This window comes from Homo sapiens, chromosome 13 (genome assembly GCF_000001405.40).
Source record: "Homo sapiens chromosome 13, GRCh38.p14 Primary Assembly".
NCBI classification, from domain to species: domain Eukaryota; kingdom Metazoa; phylum Chordata; class Mammalia; order Primates; family Hominidae; genus Homo; species Homo sapiens.
The window spans coordinates 25,887,530-25,906,664 of NC_000013.11; the positions used below are offsets into that span (position 1 = coordinate 25,887,530).

Below are 19,135 nucleotides of genomic sequence, written 5' to 3' on the forward strand. Positions count from 1 at the left end.
GTTTCACCATCTTGGCCAGGCTGGTCTTGAGCTCCTGACTTCGTGATCTTCCCGCCTCGGCCTCCCAAAGTGTTGGGATTACAGGCGTGAGCCACAGCGCCAGGCCCCTCAGTCCAACTTTTATTATTAATAAATTCAGACAAGAGAGGAAAGGAAGACAACAAATGTTAATACTATGTGTCTTCTACATGCAGGCCCTGAGCCAGGTGCTTTCTTTACATCCACCCTGTGAGCCATTTAGCTTTTAATCACTTCTTATTAAGTTTTGATTTGTCTATTGAGGATTCCCAGTTTGTTTGTGTTTTTTTTTAGTTTGATTCTTTTAACAGACCAATGATCATATCAATATGTTTTTGAATCTCAATGGAATACTTTTGAATAAATGCTTCTGTGGGCTGCTTATCCAATGAATAATCTAGAAATTCATTTCAACACACTAACATGGATATCACCACCATTTGAGTGACTTTTGAGGTCGTGGAAGTTGATGGCACTGCCCATGGAGAGTAGGCAAGGAGGCAGAAAGGAAAGAACCCAGACCCCCCCCCCGCCCCACCCCCAGAGAACACTGGCATTTGCAGGACGAATAAACAGCCTTCTGCTTAACAAGGGTAGCACAGCACAGGCCAGCTAGACAGAGGTTCATGATCGCTCTGTAAGGATGCTTGGATAATTCAATCTTGTTTTCACTTTATAAAAGTGAAATAGCTTTGGGCTGTTGTGAAATTCTCTGTCTGAAATTTTAGGTTAGGACCCAAACAATAACCTGATGTGAATTTAGTAGCACTGCACTTGTCCTCCTTAAACAACTTTATCTAAAAGATGCCTATAAATATTTTGTATAAAACTTCCGGAATTGGCTGATAAGGGGACTTTCCTTTTTCTTCTGCGTCAAGTTCAGAAAAAGCTAAAAGCAAAAAAGGAAGCAACCAAATATGGGCAGTATGCAGTAACTAATGAAGTGAGTGATGTGGCTTGGAATATACAATGTGCTCAAATGTTTTACCGCTGGGTTCAACCCAGTTAGTATATAGAAGTTTGTAGAGTTCAGCCGGGTGTGGTGGCTCACACCTGTAATCCCAGCATTTTGGGAGGCCAAGGTGGGCTATCACCTGAGGTCAGGAGTTAGAGACCAGCCTGACCAACATGGAGAAACCCCATCTCTACTAAAAATTCAAAATTAGCCAAGCATGGTGGCGCATGTCTGTAATTCCAGCTACTTGGGAGGCTGAGGCAGCAGAATCATTTGAACCTGGGAGGCGGAGGTTGCGATGAGTCAAGATCGCACCATTGCGCTCCAGCCTGGGCGACAAGACGGAAACTCTTGTCTCAAGAAATAAAACTGTAGAGTTCATGGGGTCATTTGTATAGAAGGAAATTTTATTGAAATCACTAGTTTTTTTTCTTTTATGTATGTGAAAATACTATTTCTGAAGTTCTCTTCTCTTCGTCACCTAAATATGGCAATTTTTTCCTACAATCTGTCAACGACTATGCCAAGAAGCAAACAATGTGAGTTCTACCACATAAGAGAAACTTCCTTTATACATTCTCCACAAAAGATTTCAATGTTATTTCGTATACCATCTTCAGACAGTAATTTATTTGTTTTACTATTTTTGCTGTTGTTGCTTCAGGCCTGATCATTTTCCCCATTTCCTAATAGGAACCAATTTCCTGTTAATTGCTATTAAATTTGTTTGCTCATCCTTTGTCATATATATATATATATATATATATATATAAAATTTAAATGATTTTAAAAAATAATATATGGTCAAAAATCCTTGTATTGAAAGGATTGAAAATCCCCTAGGTGAAGGTTTGTATTAATACTTTTTGTTTAAATCACCTTCTTTTTTATCTATTTCTGAGCTATAGAACTCTTGAAGAAATAATTTCACTGTTCTTAAGAAAAACTCAGAGATGTGGTTTGGTCATAACCCTATTCACACTTGCTTGAGGCCCATTGGTGGATTAATGCTCTCCTTAAGAAGCATGATTATCTGAGGCTTGGTATAGGTTTTCAGGCACCTTAGCTCTTTTCCTGTTAGATGTCAGTATCATGGCTGCATCCTCCTTCCCCAGTGCATGACCACTCCTTGACCTTCACGGTGGTCAGTCTCCAGCAGCACTTACCTCCTGCCTATTTGTTCCTTCTAGAAATTCTTGCTGTTTTTTGCTTCTGAAGCATAATTCCTTCCTAGCTCCCTTGACTGTGACTTTGCCACTATTTCATTGCTTCATTCTCCTCCATGGCCCATTCCTTAAATGTAATTGGTCTGAAGGTTTTTTTTCCTCAGATACTTTTTTAAATTTTTTAACACTTTTTAAACTTTAAAAACAAATTTGGCCGGGCGCGGTGGTTCACGCCTGTAATCCCAGCACTTTGGAAGGCCAACGCAGGCAGATCACGAGGTTAGGAGATCGAGACCATCCTGGCTGACATGGTGAAACCCTGTCTCTAATAAAAATACAAAAAATTAGCCAGGCGTGGTGGCACGTGCCTGTAATCCCAGCTGCTCAGGAGGCTGAGGTAGGAGAATCACTTGAACCTGGGAGGTGGAGGTTGCAGTGAGCCGAGATCGCTCCACTGCCCTCCAGCCTGGGTGACGGCGCGAGACTCTGTCTCAAAAAAAAGAAAAGAAAAAAAATTTTACCGTCTCTCTGGGTTACATTATATATACCAAGGTTTCAATTCCAGCTGAAAACTAGCAGCTTCCAAATATATATCTTTAGCACAACACTTTATAGTTGCTAACAACTCAGTTTCCTTTGAAAGTGGAGACAGATCTTTTTCATCTTTTGTATCTCTTTAAATACCTAACAGAACGCCTGGTACACAAATATTAGATAGAAGAAAAATGTACATCAGTTAAAAGTTCTTAATTTCTATATCAATTTTAGAATTGTGTTCTAATGAAATATATTGTACTAGAAGATGTACTGGAAGCATGAACGTAGATATTTCCTTCCCTGATACGTATTTGTACTTCTGTCTTCATGACCAGCAGACCAGCCTCACAATTAGTCCATTTGTAACTAAAGTCTCTATCAGACAGAAGTGCATACTGGGGTTTTAGATGACATTTTACACAATAATTGTTTTCTTCATTTTTCTGGGACAGACTGATTTTGAGCATAAGTCTGTGTAGTAGAAATACGAAAATATTTGGGAATTCTTTTTTCTTTAGTGGGAGCCTTTTATTGCTAGAAATGAATATCCCATAGAGCTAAAGAAAGACCTATGAAATTTAGCTTTTAAAAACAAAGCTGTGTTTAAGTTCTTTGGAAACAGAAGGTATTGCTTAAAAATGACACAGCAGATGTTATGAAATTTGTTTTAAAGCATTACTCTCAGGTTAAGTCATGTTTGCCAAGTTACAACCCAGAACACGTTTTTACAACTCAGCAGTGCTCTGAAATTGAGGGTCTGTGATGATAAAAGGGTACTCATGTTGTGCAGTGGACCACGAGTGCTCTGTCAAGCTGTGGGTGAGGAAATGAACCTCACATCACCTTAGAAGAGTCGAGCATCTCTTCCTGAGTTGACTGAGTGAAGCCAAAGTAAAGTTGAAAATGCAAGCTACATTGTCCCCTAAGATTTACTTTTGTTTTAATAGATGCTGTGTGTTGCTCTCACTCAGTTTTGGAGTTATCTGTGGGTTTTCTTCAATGTGTATTTGATGTTTCTTTAGGGCAAAGTTACGCCACTCGAAAACGATCGTGTTGAAAGTGTGTCATATTCAGAATGGGATAGAAATCAGGTTGCTTGTTAGACCTGAGCCTTTTGTTTTGTTTTGTTTTGTTTGAGACACAGTCTCGCTCTGTCGCCCAGGCTGGAGTGCAATGGTGCGATCTCGGCTCACTGCAACCTCCCCCTCCCAGGTTCAAGCAATTCTCCCACCTCAGCCTCCCAAACAGCTGGGATTACAGGCACCCACCATCATGCCCGCCTGATTTTTGTATTTTTGGTAGAGACGGGGTTTCACCAGGTTGGCCAGGCTGGTCTCGAACTCCCTGACCTCAGGTGATCTGCCTACCTTGGCCTCCCAAAGTGCTGCGATTACAGGTGCGAGCCACTGTGCCCGGCCAGATCTGAGCCATTTGATCCCTGCCTTCATCCCTATTAACTGATAATTTATCTATTCATTAGGGGGCTCTGTGAGGTGGGTTCTGACTGATGTTGGAGGGGATGCGCTATAATTCCTGCCTCTGCATTTAAGTGTATGAGTGTTTCACCAGGGATGTCCAAACTGTCCCACTTTGGGTAAAGGACAAAAAGCAGGCCAAACAAGATTTTCTTTTGTCTGACACAATTTAAAAAAATATTGCAAGGTAAAATATTTAACAGAATGATTGTACTGGGTTGGTAGTGTGTGCGTGTGTGTGGTTTGCTTGATTTTGAGGCTTCATAATCTTTTAAAAAGATGGAGATGTATGACCTTCAAAGCCTTTTTCTTTTTTTTTTTTTGGAGATGGAGTCTGGCTCTGTTGCCCAGGCTGGAGTGCAGGGGCGCGATCTTGGCTCACTGCAAGCTCCACCTCCCATTCTCCTGCCTCAGCCTCCCGAGTAACTGGGACTACAGGCGCCCGCCACCACACCTGGCTAATCTTTTGTACTTTTTTAGTAGAGGTGAGGTTTCACTGTGTTAGCCAGGATGGTCTTGATCTCCTGACCTCATGATCCACCCGCCTCAGCCTCCAAAGTGCTGGGATTACAGGTGTGAGCCACTGCGCCTGGCACCTTTTTCTCATTTTTATTAGTAGGTAGTGTCAGCTTGGGTTCTTACTGTGCACAGCCTATCTTGGCACAGGGTGGCATCTCTTTAGTTATGAGACATTCAATTTGGCTTTATGGGTGGAATTTACTTGATGCCTGTGAAAAATAAGTTAAAAGGCAATGGAAACAACAAATGGAAACATTTCTCTCTCTCTCTGTCTCTCTGTCTCTCTCTCTCTCTCTCTCTCTCTCCTTCCACCTGTGTTATGCAGATGTACTGGGAATGAAAAATAAGTCAAAAGGCAATGGAAACAACAAATGGAAACACCTCTCTCTCTCTCTCTCTCTCCCTCCTCCTCTCCTTCCCCTTTCTTCCACCTGTGTCATGCAGGTGTACTGGGACACAGCATACAGTGCGATGCTCTCCTTTGTGCCTGGGAGATGCTCCCTCCATCCCCCTCCTCTGCCATAGCCTATTTGATGACGTCTGTGACTGTATGGGGCCACAGTTTGGGTCTCAACTTTGTGTGAAGCACAGACTTTTTTTTAGTCTGTTTTTTTTTTTTCGCATCAAAATGAGGACCAAATATTTGATGACTCCTGATAGAAAATATTCTTCAAAGAATACCCAGGGCTGAAAACATTAAAAGTTAGCACAAAGTGTTAAGTGGTTGGTAATATTAGTATTAGATAGGCTCAGGTTTGGGACTGTTTCTATCAAACATAGGACATATCAATCAAATGTTGTTGTAGCGTAAGTCCAGAGAAGATTTTTTTTTCTTTTAGAAAATTTTCTTTTTTTTATTATTATTATACTTTTAAGTTTTAGGGTACATGTGCACAACGTGCAGGTTTGTTACATATGTATACATGTGCCATATTGGTGTGCTGCACCCATTAACTCGTCATTTAGCATTAGGTATATCTCCTAATGCTATCCCTCCCCCCTCCCCCCACCCCACAACAGTCCCCGGAGTGTGATGTTCCCCTTCCTGTGTCCATGTGTTCTCATTGTTCAATTCCCACCTATGAGTGAGAACATGCGGTGTTTGGTTTTTTGTCCTTGTGGTAGTTTGCTGAGAATGATGGTTTCCAGCTTCATCCATGTCCCTACAAAGGACATGAACTCATCATTTTTTATGGCTGCATAGTATTCCATGGTGTATATGTGCCACATTTTCTTAATCCAGTCTATCATTGTGGGACATTTGGGTTGGTTCCAAGTCTTTGCTATTGTGAATAGTGCCACAATAAACATACGTGTGCATGTGTCTTTATAGCAGCATGATTTATAATCCTTTGGGTATATACCCAGTAATGGGATGGCTGGGTCAAATGGTATTTCTAGTTCTAGATCCCTGAGGAATCGCCACACCAACTTCCACAATGGTTGAACTAGTTTACAGTCCCGCCAACAGTGTAAAAGTGTTCCTATTTCTCCACATCCTCTCCAGCACCTGTTGTTTCCTGACTTTTGAATGATCACCATTCTAACTGGTGTGAGATGGTATCTCATTGTGGTTTTGATTTGCATTTCTCTGATGGCCAGTGATGATGAGCATTTTTTCATGTGTTTTTTGGCTGCATAAATGTCTTCTTTTGAGAAGTGTCTGTTCATATCCTTTGCCCACTTTTTGATGGGGTTGTTTGTTCTTTTCTTGTAAATTTGTTTGAGTTCATTGTAGATTCTGGATGAGTATGTTGCAAAAAGTTTCTCCCATTCTGTAGGATGCCTGTTCACTCTGATGGTGGTTTCTTTTGCTGTGCAGAAGCTCTTTAGTTTAATTAGATCCCATTTGTCAACTTTGGCTTTTGTTACCATTGCTTTTGGTGTTTTAGACATGAAGTCCTTGCCCATGCCTATGTCCCGAATGGTATTGCCTAGGTTTTCTTCTAGGGTTTTTATGGTTTTAGGTCTAACATGTAAGTCTTTAATCCATCTTGAATTAATTTTTGTATAAGGTGTAAGGAAGGGATCCAGTTTCAGCTTTCTACATATGGCTAGCCAGTTTTCCCAGCACCATTTATTAAATAGGGAATCCTTTCCCCATTTCTTCTTTTTGTCAGGTTTATCAAAGATCAGATAGTTGTAGATATGCAGCATTATTTCTGAGGGCTCTGTTCTGTTCCATTGATCTATATTTCTGTTTTGGTACCAGTACCATTGCTGTTTTGGTTACTGTAGCCTTGTAGTATAGTTTGAAGTCAGGTAGCATGATGCCTCCAGCTTTGTTCTTTTGGCTTAGGATTGACTTGGCAATATGGGCTCTTTTTTGGTTCCATATGAACTTTAAAGTAGTTTTTTCCAATTCTGTGAAGAAAGTCATTGGTAGCTTGATGGGGATGGCATTGAATCTATAAATTACCTTGGGCAGTGCGGCCATTTTCATGATATTGATTCTTCCTACCCATGAGCATGGAATGTTCTCCATTTCTTTGTATCCTCTTTTATTTCCTTGAGCAGTGGTTTGTAGTTCTCCTTGAAGAGGTCCTTCACATCCCTTGTAAGTTGGATTCCTAGGTATTTTATTCTCTTCGAAGCAATTGTGAATGGGAGTTCACTCATGATTTGGCTCTCTGTTTGTCTGTTATTGGTGTATAAGAATGCTTGTGATTTTTGCACATTGATTTTGTATCCTGAGACTTTGCTGAAGTTGCTTATCAGCTTAAGGAGATTTTGGGCTGAGACAATGGGGTTTTCTAGATATACAATCATGTCATCTGCAAACAGGGAGAATTTGACTTCCTCTTTTCCTAATTGAATGCCCTTTATTCCCTTCTCCTGCCTGATTGCCCTGGCCAGAACTTCCAACACTATGTTGAATAGGAGTGGTGAGAGAGGGCATCCCTGTCTTGTGCCATTTTTCAAAAAGAATGCTTCCAGTTTTTGTCCATTCAGTATGATATTGGCTGTGGGTTTGTCATAGATAGCTCTTATTATTTTGAGATATGTCCCATCAATACCTAATTTATTGAGAGTTTTTAGCATGAAGGTTGTTGAATTTTGTCAAAGGCCTTTTCTGCATCTATTGAGATAATCATGTGGTTTTTGTCTTTGGTTCTGTTTATATGCTGGATTATGTTATTGATTTTCGTATGTTGAACCAGCCTTGCATCCCAGGAATGAAGCCCACTTGATCATGGTGGATAAGCTTTTTGATGTGTTGCTGGATTCGGTTTGCCAGTATTTTATTGAGGATTTTTGCATCAATGTTCATCAAGGATATTGGTCTAAAATTCTCTTTTTTTGTTGTGTCTCTGCCCGGCTTTGGTATCAGGATGATGCTGGCCTCATAAAATGAGTTAGGGAGGATTCCCTCTTTTTCTATTGATTGGAATAGTTTCAGAAGGAATGGTACCAGCTCCTCCTTGTACCTCTGGTAGAATTCGGCTGTGAATCCATCTGGTCCTGGACTTTTTTTGGTTGGTAAGCTATTAATTATTGCCTCAATTTCAGAGCCTGTTATTGGTCTATTCAGAGATTCAACTTATTCCTGGTTTAGTCTTGGGAGAGGGTATGTATCGAGGAATTTATCCATTTCTTCTAGATTTTCTAGTTTATTTGCATAGAGGTGTTTATAGTATTCTCTGATGGTAGTTTGTATTTCTGTGAGATCGGTGGTGATATCCCCTTTGTCATTTTTTATTGCATCCATTTGATTCTTCTCTCTCTTCTTCTTTATTAGTCTTGCTAGCGGTCTATCAATTTTGTTGATCTTTTCAAAAAACCAGCTCCTGGATTCATTGATTTTTTGAAGGGTTTTTTGTGTCTCTATTTCCTTCAGTTCTGCTCTGATCTTAGTTATTTCTTGCCTTATGCTAGCTTTTGAATGTGTTTTCCTTGCTTCTCTAGTTCTTTTAATTGTAATGTTAGGGTGTCAATTTTAGATCTTTCCTGCTTTCTCTTGTGGGCATTTAGTGCTATAAATTTCCCTCTACACACTACTTTGAATGTGTCCCAGAGATTCTGGTATGCTCTGTCTTTGTTCTCATTGGTTTCAAAGAACATCTTTATTTCTGCCTTCATTTCGTTATGTACCCAGTAGTCATTCAGGAGCAGGTTGTTCAGTTTCCATGTAGTTGAGCGGTTTTCAGTGAGTTTCTTAATCCTGAGTTCCAGTTTGATTGCACTGTGGTGTGAGAGACAGTTTGTTATAATTTCTGTTCTTTTACATTTGCTGAGGAGTGCTTTACTTCCAACTATGTGGTCAATTTTGGAATAAGTGTAATGTGGTGCTGAGAATAACGTATATTCTGTTGATTTGGGGTGGAGAGTTCTGTAGATGTCTATTAGGTCTGCTTGGTGCAGAGCTGAGTTCAATTCCTGGATATGCTTGTTAACCTTCTGTCTCGTTGATCTGTCTAATGTTGACAGTGGGGTGTTAAAGTCTCCCATTATTATTGTGTGGGAGTCTAAGTCTCTTTGTAGTTCTCTAAGGACTTGCTTTATGAATCTGGGTGCTCCTGTATTGGGTGCATATATATTTAGGATAGTTAGTTCTTCTTGTTGAATTGATCCCTTTACCATTATGTAATGGCCTTCTTTGTCTCTTTTGATCTTTGTTGGTTTAAAGTCTGTTTTATCAGAGACTAGGATTGCAACCCCTGCCTTTTTTTGTTTTCCATTTGCTTGGTAGATCTTTCTCCATCCCTTTATTTTGAGCCTATGTGTGTCTCTGCACGTGAGATGGGTTTCCTGAATACAGCACACTGATGGGTCTTGACTCTTTATCCAATTTGCCAGTCTGTGCCTTTTAATTGGAGCATTTAGCCCATTTACGTTTAAGGTTAGTATTGTTATGTGTGAATTTGATCCTGTCATTATGATGTTAGCTGGTTATTTTGCTCGTTAGTTGATGCAGTTTCTTCCTAGCCTTGATGGTCTTTACAGTTTGGCATGTTTTTGCAGTGGCTGGTACTGGTTGTTCCTTTCTATGTTTAGTGCTTCCTTCAGGAGCTCTTTTAGGGCAGGCCTGGTGTGACAAAATCTCTCAGCATTTGCTTGTCTGTAAAGTATTTTATTTCTCCTTCACTTACGAAGCTTAGTTTGGCTGGATATGAAATTCTGGGTTGAAAATTCTTTTCTTTAAGAATGTTGAATATTGGCCCCCACTCTCTTCTGGCTTGTAGAGTTTCTGCCGAGACATCAGCTGTTAGTCTGATGGGCTTCCCTTTGTGGGCAACCCGACCTTTCTCTCTGGCTGCCCTTAACATTTTTTCCTTCATTTCAACTTTTGGTGAATGTGACAATTATGTGTCTTGAAGTTGCTCTTCTCAAGGAGTATCTTTGTGGCGTTCTCTGTATTTCCTGAATTTGAATGTTGGCCTGCCTTGCTGGATTTGGGGAAGTTCTCCTGGATAATATCCTGCAGAGTGTTTTCCAACTTAGTTCCATTCTCCCCGTCACTTTCAGGTCCACCAATTAGACATAGATTTGGTCTTTTCACATAGTCCCATATTTCTTGGAGGCTTTGTTCGTTTCTTTTTATTCTTTTTTCTCTAAACTTCTCTTCACGCTTCATTTCATTCATTTCATCTTCCATCGCTGATACCCTTTCCTCCAGTTGATTGCATCGGTTACTGAGGCTTGTGCATTCATCGCGTAGTTCTTGTGCCGTGGTTTTCAGCTCCATCAGCTCCTTCAAGGACTTCTCTGCATTGATTATTTTAGTTATCCATTCGTCTAATTTTTTTTCAAAGTTTTTAACTTCTTTGCCATTGGTTCAAACTTCCTCCTTTAGCTCGGAGAAGTTTGATCTTCTGAAGCCTTCCTCTCTCAACTCGTCAAAGTCATTCTCTGTCCAGTTTTGTTCTGTTGCTGGTGAGGAGCTGCATTCCTTTGGAGGTGCTCTGATTTTTAGAGTTTCCAGTTTTTCTGCTCTGTTTTTTCCCCATCTTTTGGTTTTATCTACCTTTGGTCTTTGATGATGGTGACCTACAGATGGGATTTTGGTGTGGATGTCCTTTCTATTTGTTAGTTTTCCTTCTAACAGTCAGGACCCTCAGCTGCAGGTCTGTTGGAATTTACTGGAGGTCCACTCCAGACCCTGTTTGCCTACGTATCAGCAGCGGTGGCTGCAGAACAGCGGATACTGGTGAACTGCTAATGCTGCTGTCTGATTGTTCTTCTGGAAGTTTTGTCTCAGAGGAGTACCCAGCCGTGTGAGGTGTCAGTCCGCCCCTACTGGGGGGTGCCTCCAAGTTAGGCTACTCGGGGGTCAGGGACCCACTTGAGGAGGCGGTCTGCCTGTTCTCAGATCTCAAGCTGCGTGCTCGGAGAACCACTCCTCTCTTCAAAGCTGTCAGACAGGGACATTTAAGTCTGCAGAGGTTATTGCTGTCTTTTGTTTGTCTGTGCCCTGCCCCCAGAGGTGGAGCCTACAGAGGCAGGCAGGCCTCCTTGAGCTGTGGTGGGCTCCACCCAGTTCCAGCTTCCCAGCTGGCCACCTTGTTTACCTACTCAAGCCTGAGCAATGGTGGGCGCCCCTCCACCAGCCTCGCTGCCGCCTTGCAGTTTGATCTCAGACTACTGTACTAGCAATGAACGAGGCTCCGTGGGCATAGAACCCTCCGAGCTAGGTGCCGGATATAATCTCCTGGTGTGCCATTTGTGAAGCCCGTTGGAAAAGCGCAGTATTAGGGTGGGAGTGACCCGATTTTCCAGGTGCTGTTTGTCACCCCTTTCTTTGACTAGGAAAGGGAATTCCTTGACCCCTTGCGCTTCCCGGGTGAGGTTATGCCTTGCCCTGCTTCAGCTCACGCATGGTGCCCTGCACCCACTGTCTTGCACCCACTGTCCGGCACTCCCCTGTGAGATGAACCCAGTACCTCAGTTGGAAATGCAGAAATCACCCGTCTTCTGTGTCGCTCACTCTGGGAACTGTAGACTGGAGCTGTTCCTATTCGGCCATGTTGGCTCCACCCCAAGTCCAGAGAAGCTTATTGCTGGCGAGCGTGGAAACATGCATGCATGGGTTTCTGTCTGAGTGCTGGAGCTCTGTAGAGCAAGGGCAGCTTGGGATGGCCTGCCAGTATGCCCTGGCAATTCTGTGTTACAGGTGCTGTCCTTTCTGCTCCTTGTGGTGTGACATGCCACAACTCATTTAACCCCCTGCCTGGGTATGTCTGACAAATTGAGAATATAGAACCTGATTTATCTAGAGTTTTGCCAGATAATGCATACGGGTGTCTGGTATACTCTCCTGAAAATATACTATGGTTATACAGAGAATTACAATAGCAAGTGACTGGGTACTTCCTGCAGATGGCAGGGATAATAGAGGCCTCCCAGGAGGGCCACTATCTCGACTGAGATTGAGATCTGAGTGAGGAGCAGAGCCGGTGGTGTCCGCACCAGGGGAGGCAAAGCTGAGCGGAGGACACAGAGCATGGTGTGTTCTGAGGACAGGGCCACAGTCAGACAGGCAGGAAGGAAGGGGTTGGTGCAGGGGAGGGTGCAGGAAGAAGAGCAGAGGGGTGCACGGTAGCCAGACCACGGAGGTCTTTGTAAAGGACAGAGCAAGAAACTTGATTTTCCTGCAGATGGGATGGAGAGTCTTTGGAGAGCTTTAATAGGAAAATGACATGCTCTGATGTCTATTTCCAAAGCTCACCCTGCCTCTCTATGGGGAAAAAATAGGTGGTACAGGGGAAAGAGTGGAGGCAGGGAGTCCAGCTGGGTGATGGGGACTTGGAGTTGGGAGTCAGGTGGACATGAGGCACACAGCTGTGTTCGAGGATGCTGGGACCTGCCCAGGGACTGGAGTAGAAGCTGTCAACTGAAGAATAACCAGGATCATACATTTGGAAGAGCTTTATTTCTCATAAAGGGTTATAGCCTGCAGGCTGGCCATTCCTCCTGCTGGGAGGCAGAGCTGAGAGGGAGGGAGGATAAGACAGGAATTTATGCTGAAATTTCTGGGTGGCTGGAAATACATATTTAATGAGCTATAGGAGGAGTCATGAATATTTATGAGAGGAGAAACATGTACAGGCACAATTGAGTTCCATGCCTCTTCATGGATTACATGTTCAAAAAATGGCAGTGTTAGCATGATCTGAGGTGGAGTTTTCAGCCCTCTGACATGAAAAGGTGCAGTGGAGGACACCAGAACCTCACTGCATCCTCTGAGAGTCAGCCAAAACGTGTCCCAAGGTGGTCGTCAGTGTTTACGAAGGGATGTGTTGTGAGACAGGTGGGCTGTCACGTGGAAGAAGTGAAGAGGGAGGGGCATCTGGTCGCAGTTTCAGATGATTGGCTAAGGTGATAAAGGAATGAGTTGTCCATTTCTCATTTTCCAGAGCTGATTTCTGCTTACTCCTTAGAAAGAGTTTTGGCTAAAGGTTAATAAGGAAGGGGCACACTGAGGCGTGTTCAACCTTATGTCTGATGTGGTCAAAAACTCCGTTTTTAAGGTTTCTCCAAGGTCTCCTTGGCCAAGAGGGGGTCTGTTCAGTTGCTTGGGGGCTTAAGATTTTATTTTTATTTCTCAAAGACCTGGGAGAGAGAAGTGTCCAAGGCACCTGCTAGAGTTTTACCTAAGCAAAGGGGTGGGAAGGTATTAGCGCTGTTGACTAAGATGGAAAACACGGGAGAAGAGGGGCTTGTGGAGAAACCACACCTCCATTCTAGCCACGTCCACTGCGAATGCAGGTGACACATGGAAGCAGCAGGAACACCCCTGAGCATCTTCATGGAGTTTGGATCAAGATGGAAGAAAAGCCCATGCGTTGTCTAAGGCTGCCTCATCTCAGAAGCCAATGGGCGGTGTAATTAGTGCTGAAAGGTGGGCTGGGGGATGACTGCATTGCTCTAGCAAGGAAGGAGGAGCAGGGAGCTGAAGGGAGACAGGTGGAGGAGGCCAAGCAACTGGCTAAGCCCATGAGGGCTAAGGGAGGCCTAAAATGCGGGACATTGGAGAGGAAATGTTCTGGAAGCTTCTACAGGCAAACTGCATTGTACTGGAAGGGGCCGATGAATAGTGCTGGGTCAAGGGTTTTTAAGTGGAATTGAGAATAAGGGAAGCAGAAAGGTGGTTTGAAGAGGCGAAAAAAGGAAAATGGACTGAACCGAAAGGGCCTTGGGAGTGTTATGGGATTGGAGAACTTTTCCTAAATAATTTAGGAGCTCCAGTAGAATTTATGTTTATGTGAAAGAAAAAAAAAAAACCACATGTTACTTAGAATTGGGAAGTTTTGTGCACCCATGTCTAGGAATTAAATTTTATATGAATTCATATATTATATATTATATATACATAATTTAAATTGTGATTTTTAAGAAGAAATCAAATCAACCAGCAAGGGCAAAATAAAAATTTTAATTATCTATTTGTTTTTCCATTATTTTTATACACAAATCTTAGAAGCAGGAACAGAGTAGTTTCAAAGGCCAGTTTCTGAGACATGCTTAAAATTGGCGCTGATAACAAAGAAACTACTATGAATGGCTGAGGTTTCAAAGTTAGATTAGAGTTCACTCTAGATCGTATTTGCTAAGCTAGTAAAGCCGTGTAGGCTTGTTCTAGCCTGTTGGCTGGGAAACTATCTCTAAACAGGATGTGGTGATTATTTGTGAATGATCATTACTCATTCTGACAACAGATCCTCACTGCATGCCCAAGGGGACATCCCCTTTTAAACATGCGTATAAAGATGACTCAAGTACGAATATCATATGTACAGCGTATCAATATTAGCTGACCTACCAAATCTGAAAATGCTTAAGTAAAGATAATACACAATAATCTAGTTATATTAAGCTATATTCGGGATCCATTAAGTAGCCTCATAGTTATAGAAAAGGATAACAAAAAAATTTTTTGGCAATCTAGTGGAATAGGGGTATGGGGTTTAAAAAGGACAATGAAAAAGTTCACTGAGCAGGAAAGGAATGGAAGATTGCTCAACAGATCTACAGGAAACCATTCCCCCGCCATCACCTCTGCATTTCAAAAAGCAAATGCAATTCCGGTCAGAAGACATTGTCTACTTCGGAGTGATATGCTTATAATCTATCTGTGTGTGTTTTTTAACTCTTACAGTGAAGCTTCAATTATATCTTCTTAACCCCTTCCCAAAGCCTTGGGAAACACTGGACATTTTTCTATATAAGCAGATTGGGTTATTTGTCCAAATGACGGGTGTTTTTGAACTAGGACATCTAGCTTCTATCCATAGGAAACCCCATATCTGGTGGGCAAAGAATAGAGTATAAATATTATGTATCTGATATTTACACTTTGGGCCATAAGTGTTTGAAACAGTTATATCTATTCATGTGAAATTTCTGTTCACATTATAGCAACAACATCAATTTAAAAAAAAAAAAACAAAAAAGAATTCCCCAAGACTGTCCATTCTGCGTGTGTGTATGCACGTGTGTGTGCATGTGCAGGCATTTTGCACCATGCTGCAAAACAGCTCCTCTTCCTACATTTGCCCTTGACTGTTCATCTCCCAAGACTCAGGTCTTCATTCTCCTCTGCACGTTCCTGTGCTTTCAACCCGTCTTATAGTGACCCCAATTCTATGTGTTCAGCCCAGACCTCTTCCTGAACCACAGGCCCACGCTGGTTGAGTGAATTTCCAGTTTTCAGTACGACATTTCCTCCTAAATGTCTGTGGTCTTTCGGTCCCTGAAAATCAACTGTCAAACTATTAACTGACTTTATACATCCTCAGCATGCACACACACACACACACACACACACACACACACGTAAATGCACATGGCAGGGGTTGGGGCACAAAGTAGATAAAAACTCCTGTCTCGAATCACTTGAACCTGGGAGGCGGAGGTTGCAGTGAGCCAAGACCATGCCGTTGCACTCTAGCCTGGGCAAGAAGAACGAAACTCCGTCTCAAAAACAAAACAAAACGAAACAAAACAAAAAAAATTCCGGTCTCCTGCCATAGCTCCTGTCTTGGTTTCAGGTTACTCATACTAGGAACGCAGAGACTTATTCTTGACTTTTCTCTCTCCCACAGTCTCCATACGCAAACAGCCCCCAGATATGGCTGCTTTAACCCTGCCGTTGCATTTGAATCTTTCCTTTCCTTCCTGCTGCCCCTCCACCACAGACCCTGCTAGGTCTGACTGCCATGGCTCTCTTCTTTCCCTTCACCTCAATCTCACATGTCACTTCCCACTAACCCCACCTGGTCTCCCATCCTCCATCCTGTCCCCTCTAAGTCTGTTCTTCATTGGAATGATCCTTTCAGAACCTGAATCACTCATGTCATTCATTCCTCTGTTCAGAAACTTGCCGTGGCTTCTGGCCTCATTAAGAGAGTAAGTCTAAGTCCTTGCAATGATCCAGACCACTGTTGATTATCCCTGCCACTGCTGTCCTTGCTCATTGCTCTCTGCCACGGTGGTCTCGTTATTCAACGTCCCTGGGTAGATTTTGTCTTTAGGTTCTGAACTTGCTGTTCCCTTTGCCCTCAGCCCTCTCGAGGGGTCACTCAGATCCTCAGCACTGCCCTCCTCAGTGGACCGACATCGACACCTTACCCTGTTTCCAAGTCACTTTTCACCTCTGGACACACTGTGGGATTTACTTATTTCTTTGGCTTGTTTTCCCACACACATTCACACAATGTATAAGCTCTATGAGGCTGCAGTTTTTGTCTGTTCTGCAGTTGATTTCTCAGCTTCTAACAGGAAGTAAATAAGTAGTTTTTAAGTAAATGAATGTGAATCTTCTGGGGAGCATTTAAAAAAAAACTGTTGTACAAACTCTGCAGATTGAGGATCCCTTATCCACAATACTTGGAATCACTGGTGTTTCGGATTTTGATTTTTTCAGATTTTTGAATATTTGCATTGGACTTACCAGTTGATCATCCCTGGTCTGAAAACCTGAGATCCAAAGTGCTCTAGCAAGCGTTTCCTCTGAGCGTCATAGCACACTCAAAAAGTTCTGGGTTTTGAAGCATTTCAGATTTCACATTTTTGGATTCGTGATGCTCAACCTATACCTTGGACCTGTCAAATCAGAAACCTTGGGGAGTCTGATCCAAGAGATGATACTTTTTCAAGGTTCCCCGGTAATCCACTGCCCAGCTCAGGCTGAGCGCCATTGCTGCCAGACAGATTTCCTAAACCGTGGACATCATCCCACCTTCATGCCCTTCGACATTCTCCGTTTCCTCATAGAATCATGCCCAGACTCAAAGTGACAGTCACAAACCCGCACCCGTTGCCCCAGGGGCCTTTTGGCCTCGTGTCCTGCCCCTCACCATGCGCCTCTTCCTGCCTGCCGGAAGCGCTGTTGTCTTCCCTTGGGTGTGTTGCTGCCTCGTGCCCTCCCTTGCCTTTGCCTGTGCTGTTGCTCTGCTGAAAATACTTTCTTTCCATTCTCTGATGGGTGAGTTGCTCAAGGATAAAGTTTGGATTCAAATGTCAGTGTTATAGTTTTCCCTAATGCTCTCTCTTTTTCCTCACATCTCCCCCCGGTAATTAATGGTTGCTTATATAACACATTGTGTGTCATATCCATATCCTACACCATTGGAGTTCCTCATTCTCTCATCAGACTCTGAGCACCTGAAGGATAAGAACATTTCATTGATTTATCCTCAACATTCAGCGAATAATCACATATAGTTCTTTTACCCTCAGTGTCTGCCAAATTGCCAAATATGGTTGTTTAGTGTGCCAAAACAAAAGTTATGTTATTGATGTGAGGTATCTCTTTATCAAGTTTTTCCGAGTATTCAGTAGTCAGATACCTGCATGCGCATGGCTGTAAGCATGTGTACGCCCCACCCCCGCCACCGCCCCGAGGAGAAGAGTGTGTGCCCAGCCTGGGCCCTTGGTCCTGAAGGGAGAGCACGTCACCCATTGTCATGTTATTATCCATTAACGTGACATTGTATCTTCTCTCTACCCAGAGACATCACCCATCTTCTCCTCATTCCTGAAGACCTAACTTTAGCCTCTACTACTCTCTCTTTCCGCAGATAACCTCCTTAGGTACTTTACTTACTTAAAAAAAAAATTTTTAAGGGATGCTTTCTAAGTGACATCTCTTATACACTCATTTCTAAAACGATAAGTTTTTCTCTTCCTCTCCGAATTTAGTTTCCTATTATCCTGATCTATCACTTCTTAACGGACACTGATTCTGCTCTAAGCCTCTTTCACTTATTTTTATATGCTCTCTCTCTCTCTCTCTCTTACTTCCCTGTTGGTCTTTCAGTTTTCTGGTTTCTCCTAGCATTAAATAAAAACAAGAGCAGTAGCCGTCCTGCCTGGTATCCCGTGCTATCCCTGTGCTCCCTCCTCCACAGTTTCGCCAACAGCGGTTGGTGCGTGTTGAGTTTCTGTTCACACCTCCGGCCCCTCTCCATGCCCTCTGCAGGCCGCTGCCATCTGGGTTTCTCTGGAAGTGCAGAGGCCACAGGTTGCAATCTACTCTCCAGCCTCGGTGCCTGTCTCTGCCCTGGTTCTCCTCTGCCAGCTGACCTCTTGCCTTCTGATTCCCAGAAGGACAGGGCGTTGGTTCCTGTGATTTTCCACTCTCCTGGGGCCCCTTCCTGCCTCTAGAGTGGCCATGCCCATCTCAGCCCTTCCTCGCCCTGAGGGCTATCAAACCATAAATGAGAGAACTTGCCAGAAAGCCTGAGGCCACGGAAACATTCCACACACTGTGTTTTCCTTCCCAAGTCTTGGTTATTTCCTCTTTGTTCTTTGTCTATACTCCTCAAGCAAACCTCTTTCTTGAAATATTACACTTCTCCCAACTCTCTCTGCAGTTTTTTTTCTAGCACCAGTCTATATTTGCCTGCATGATGAGGCCTTACCTTAAACTTTACATGTCTAAAACACATCTTTTGTCTTCCTCATCCTTTTTAAAATAAGTCCTTCCAGATTTCTATCTTTTTGTCATTCATCTTCTGACTCTAGTGCCCCAAGTCTCTGATCATCTCTGTATTCCTCCCCCTTTATTTGCCCTTCATGGCCAGCCAGTCTTTGCATCCTTTCACTACCCTCCCCGCCCCCCGCCCAATCCTAGCATAAACTTTCATATCCTGTATTACTTCCTGTCTTCAATCTCTTCTTTTGTATTACAGCTACAAACTTGACCTTTCTGAAAGCCTGTTTTCATTGTGTCACTCTGCTCAGAATCTGCAGTGATGCCCTTATTTCTCTTCCAGGATTAGGTAACTCTACCCAGTCTTCAAGGGTTTCCACAGCATGCCCCACCTTAGCAATTCCCAGCACCCCGAGGCCTGAGCAGCGGTGGGGTCTCCTGTCTCCTCTCCTCTCTGCCTTTTGATGAATGCTCTTGTTCTTCCTGTATGAAACGCTCCCCCGCCTTCTCTCTCCCCCTCTTGCCGTATATCTCCTTTCTTTCTCTTCTTGTTCTTCTGTGAGTACATCTGTCACAGGCCCTTGGTTTTCTG

At 43.0% G+C, this 19,135-nt stretch overlaps 1 protein-coding gene across 9 annotated transcripts in view, besides 1 other annotated feature; it reads left to right on the forward strand.

Moving 5' to 3' along the window:
- Positions 1-19,135, forward strand: part of ATP8A2 (ATPase phospholipid transporting 8A2) — a 653,878-nt gene that overhangs the window by 515,556 nt on the left and 119,187 nt on the right. The window lies entirely within an intron of this gene.
- Positions 15,559-15,678: an enhancer, noted in NCBI's record as "active region_7489". NCBI's record gives its function as "activates an Ori minimal core promoter by ATAC-STARR-seq in GM12878 lymphoblastoid cells {active_cell/tissue: GM12878}" and the evidence as "EXISTENCE:reporter gene assay evidence [ECO:0000049][PMID:35858748]".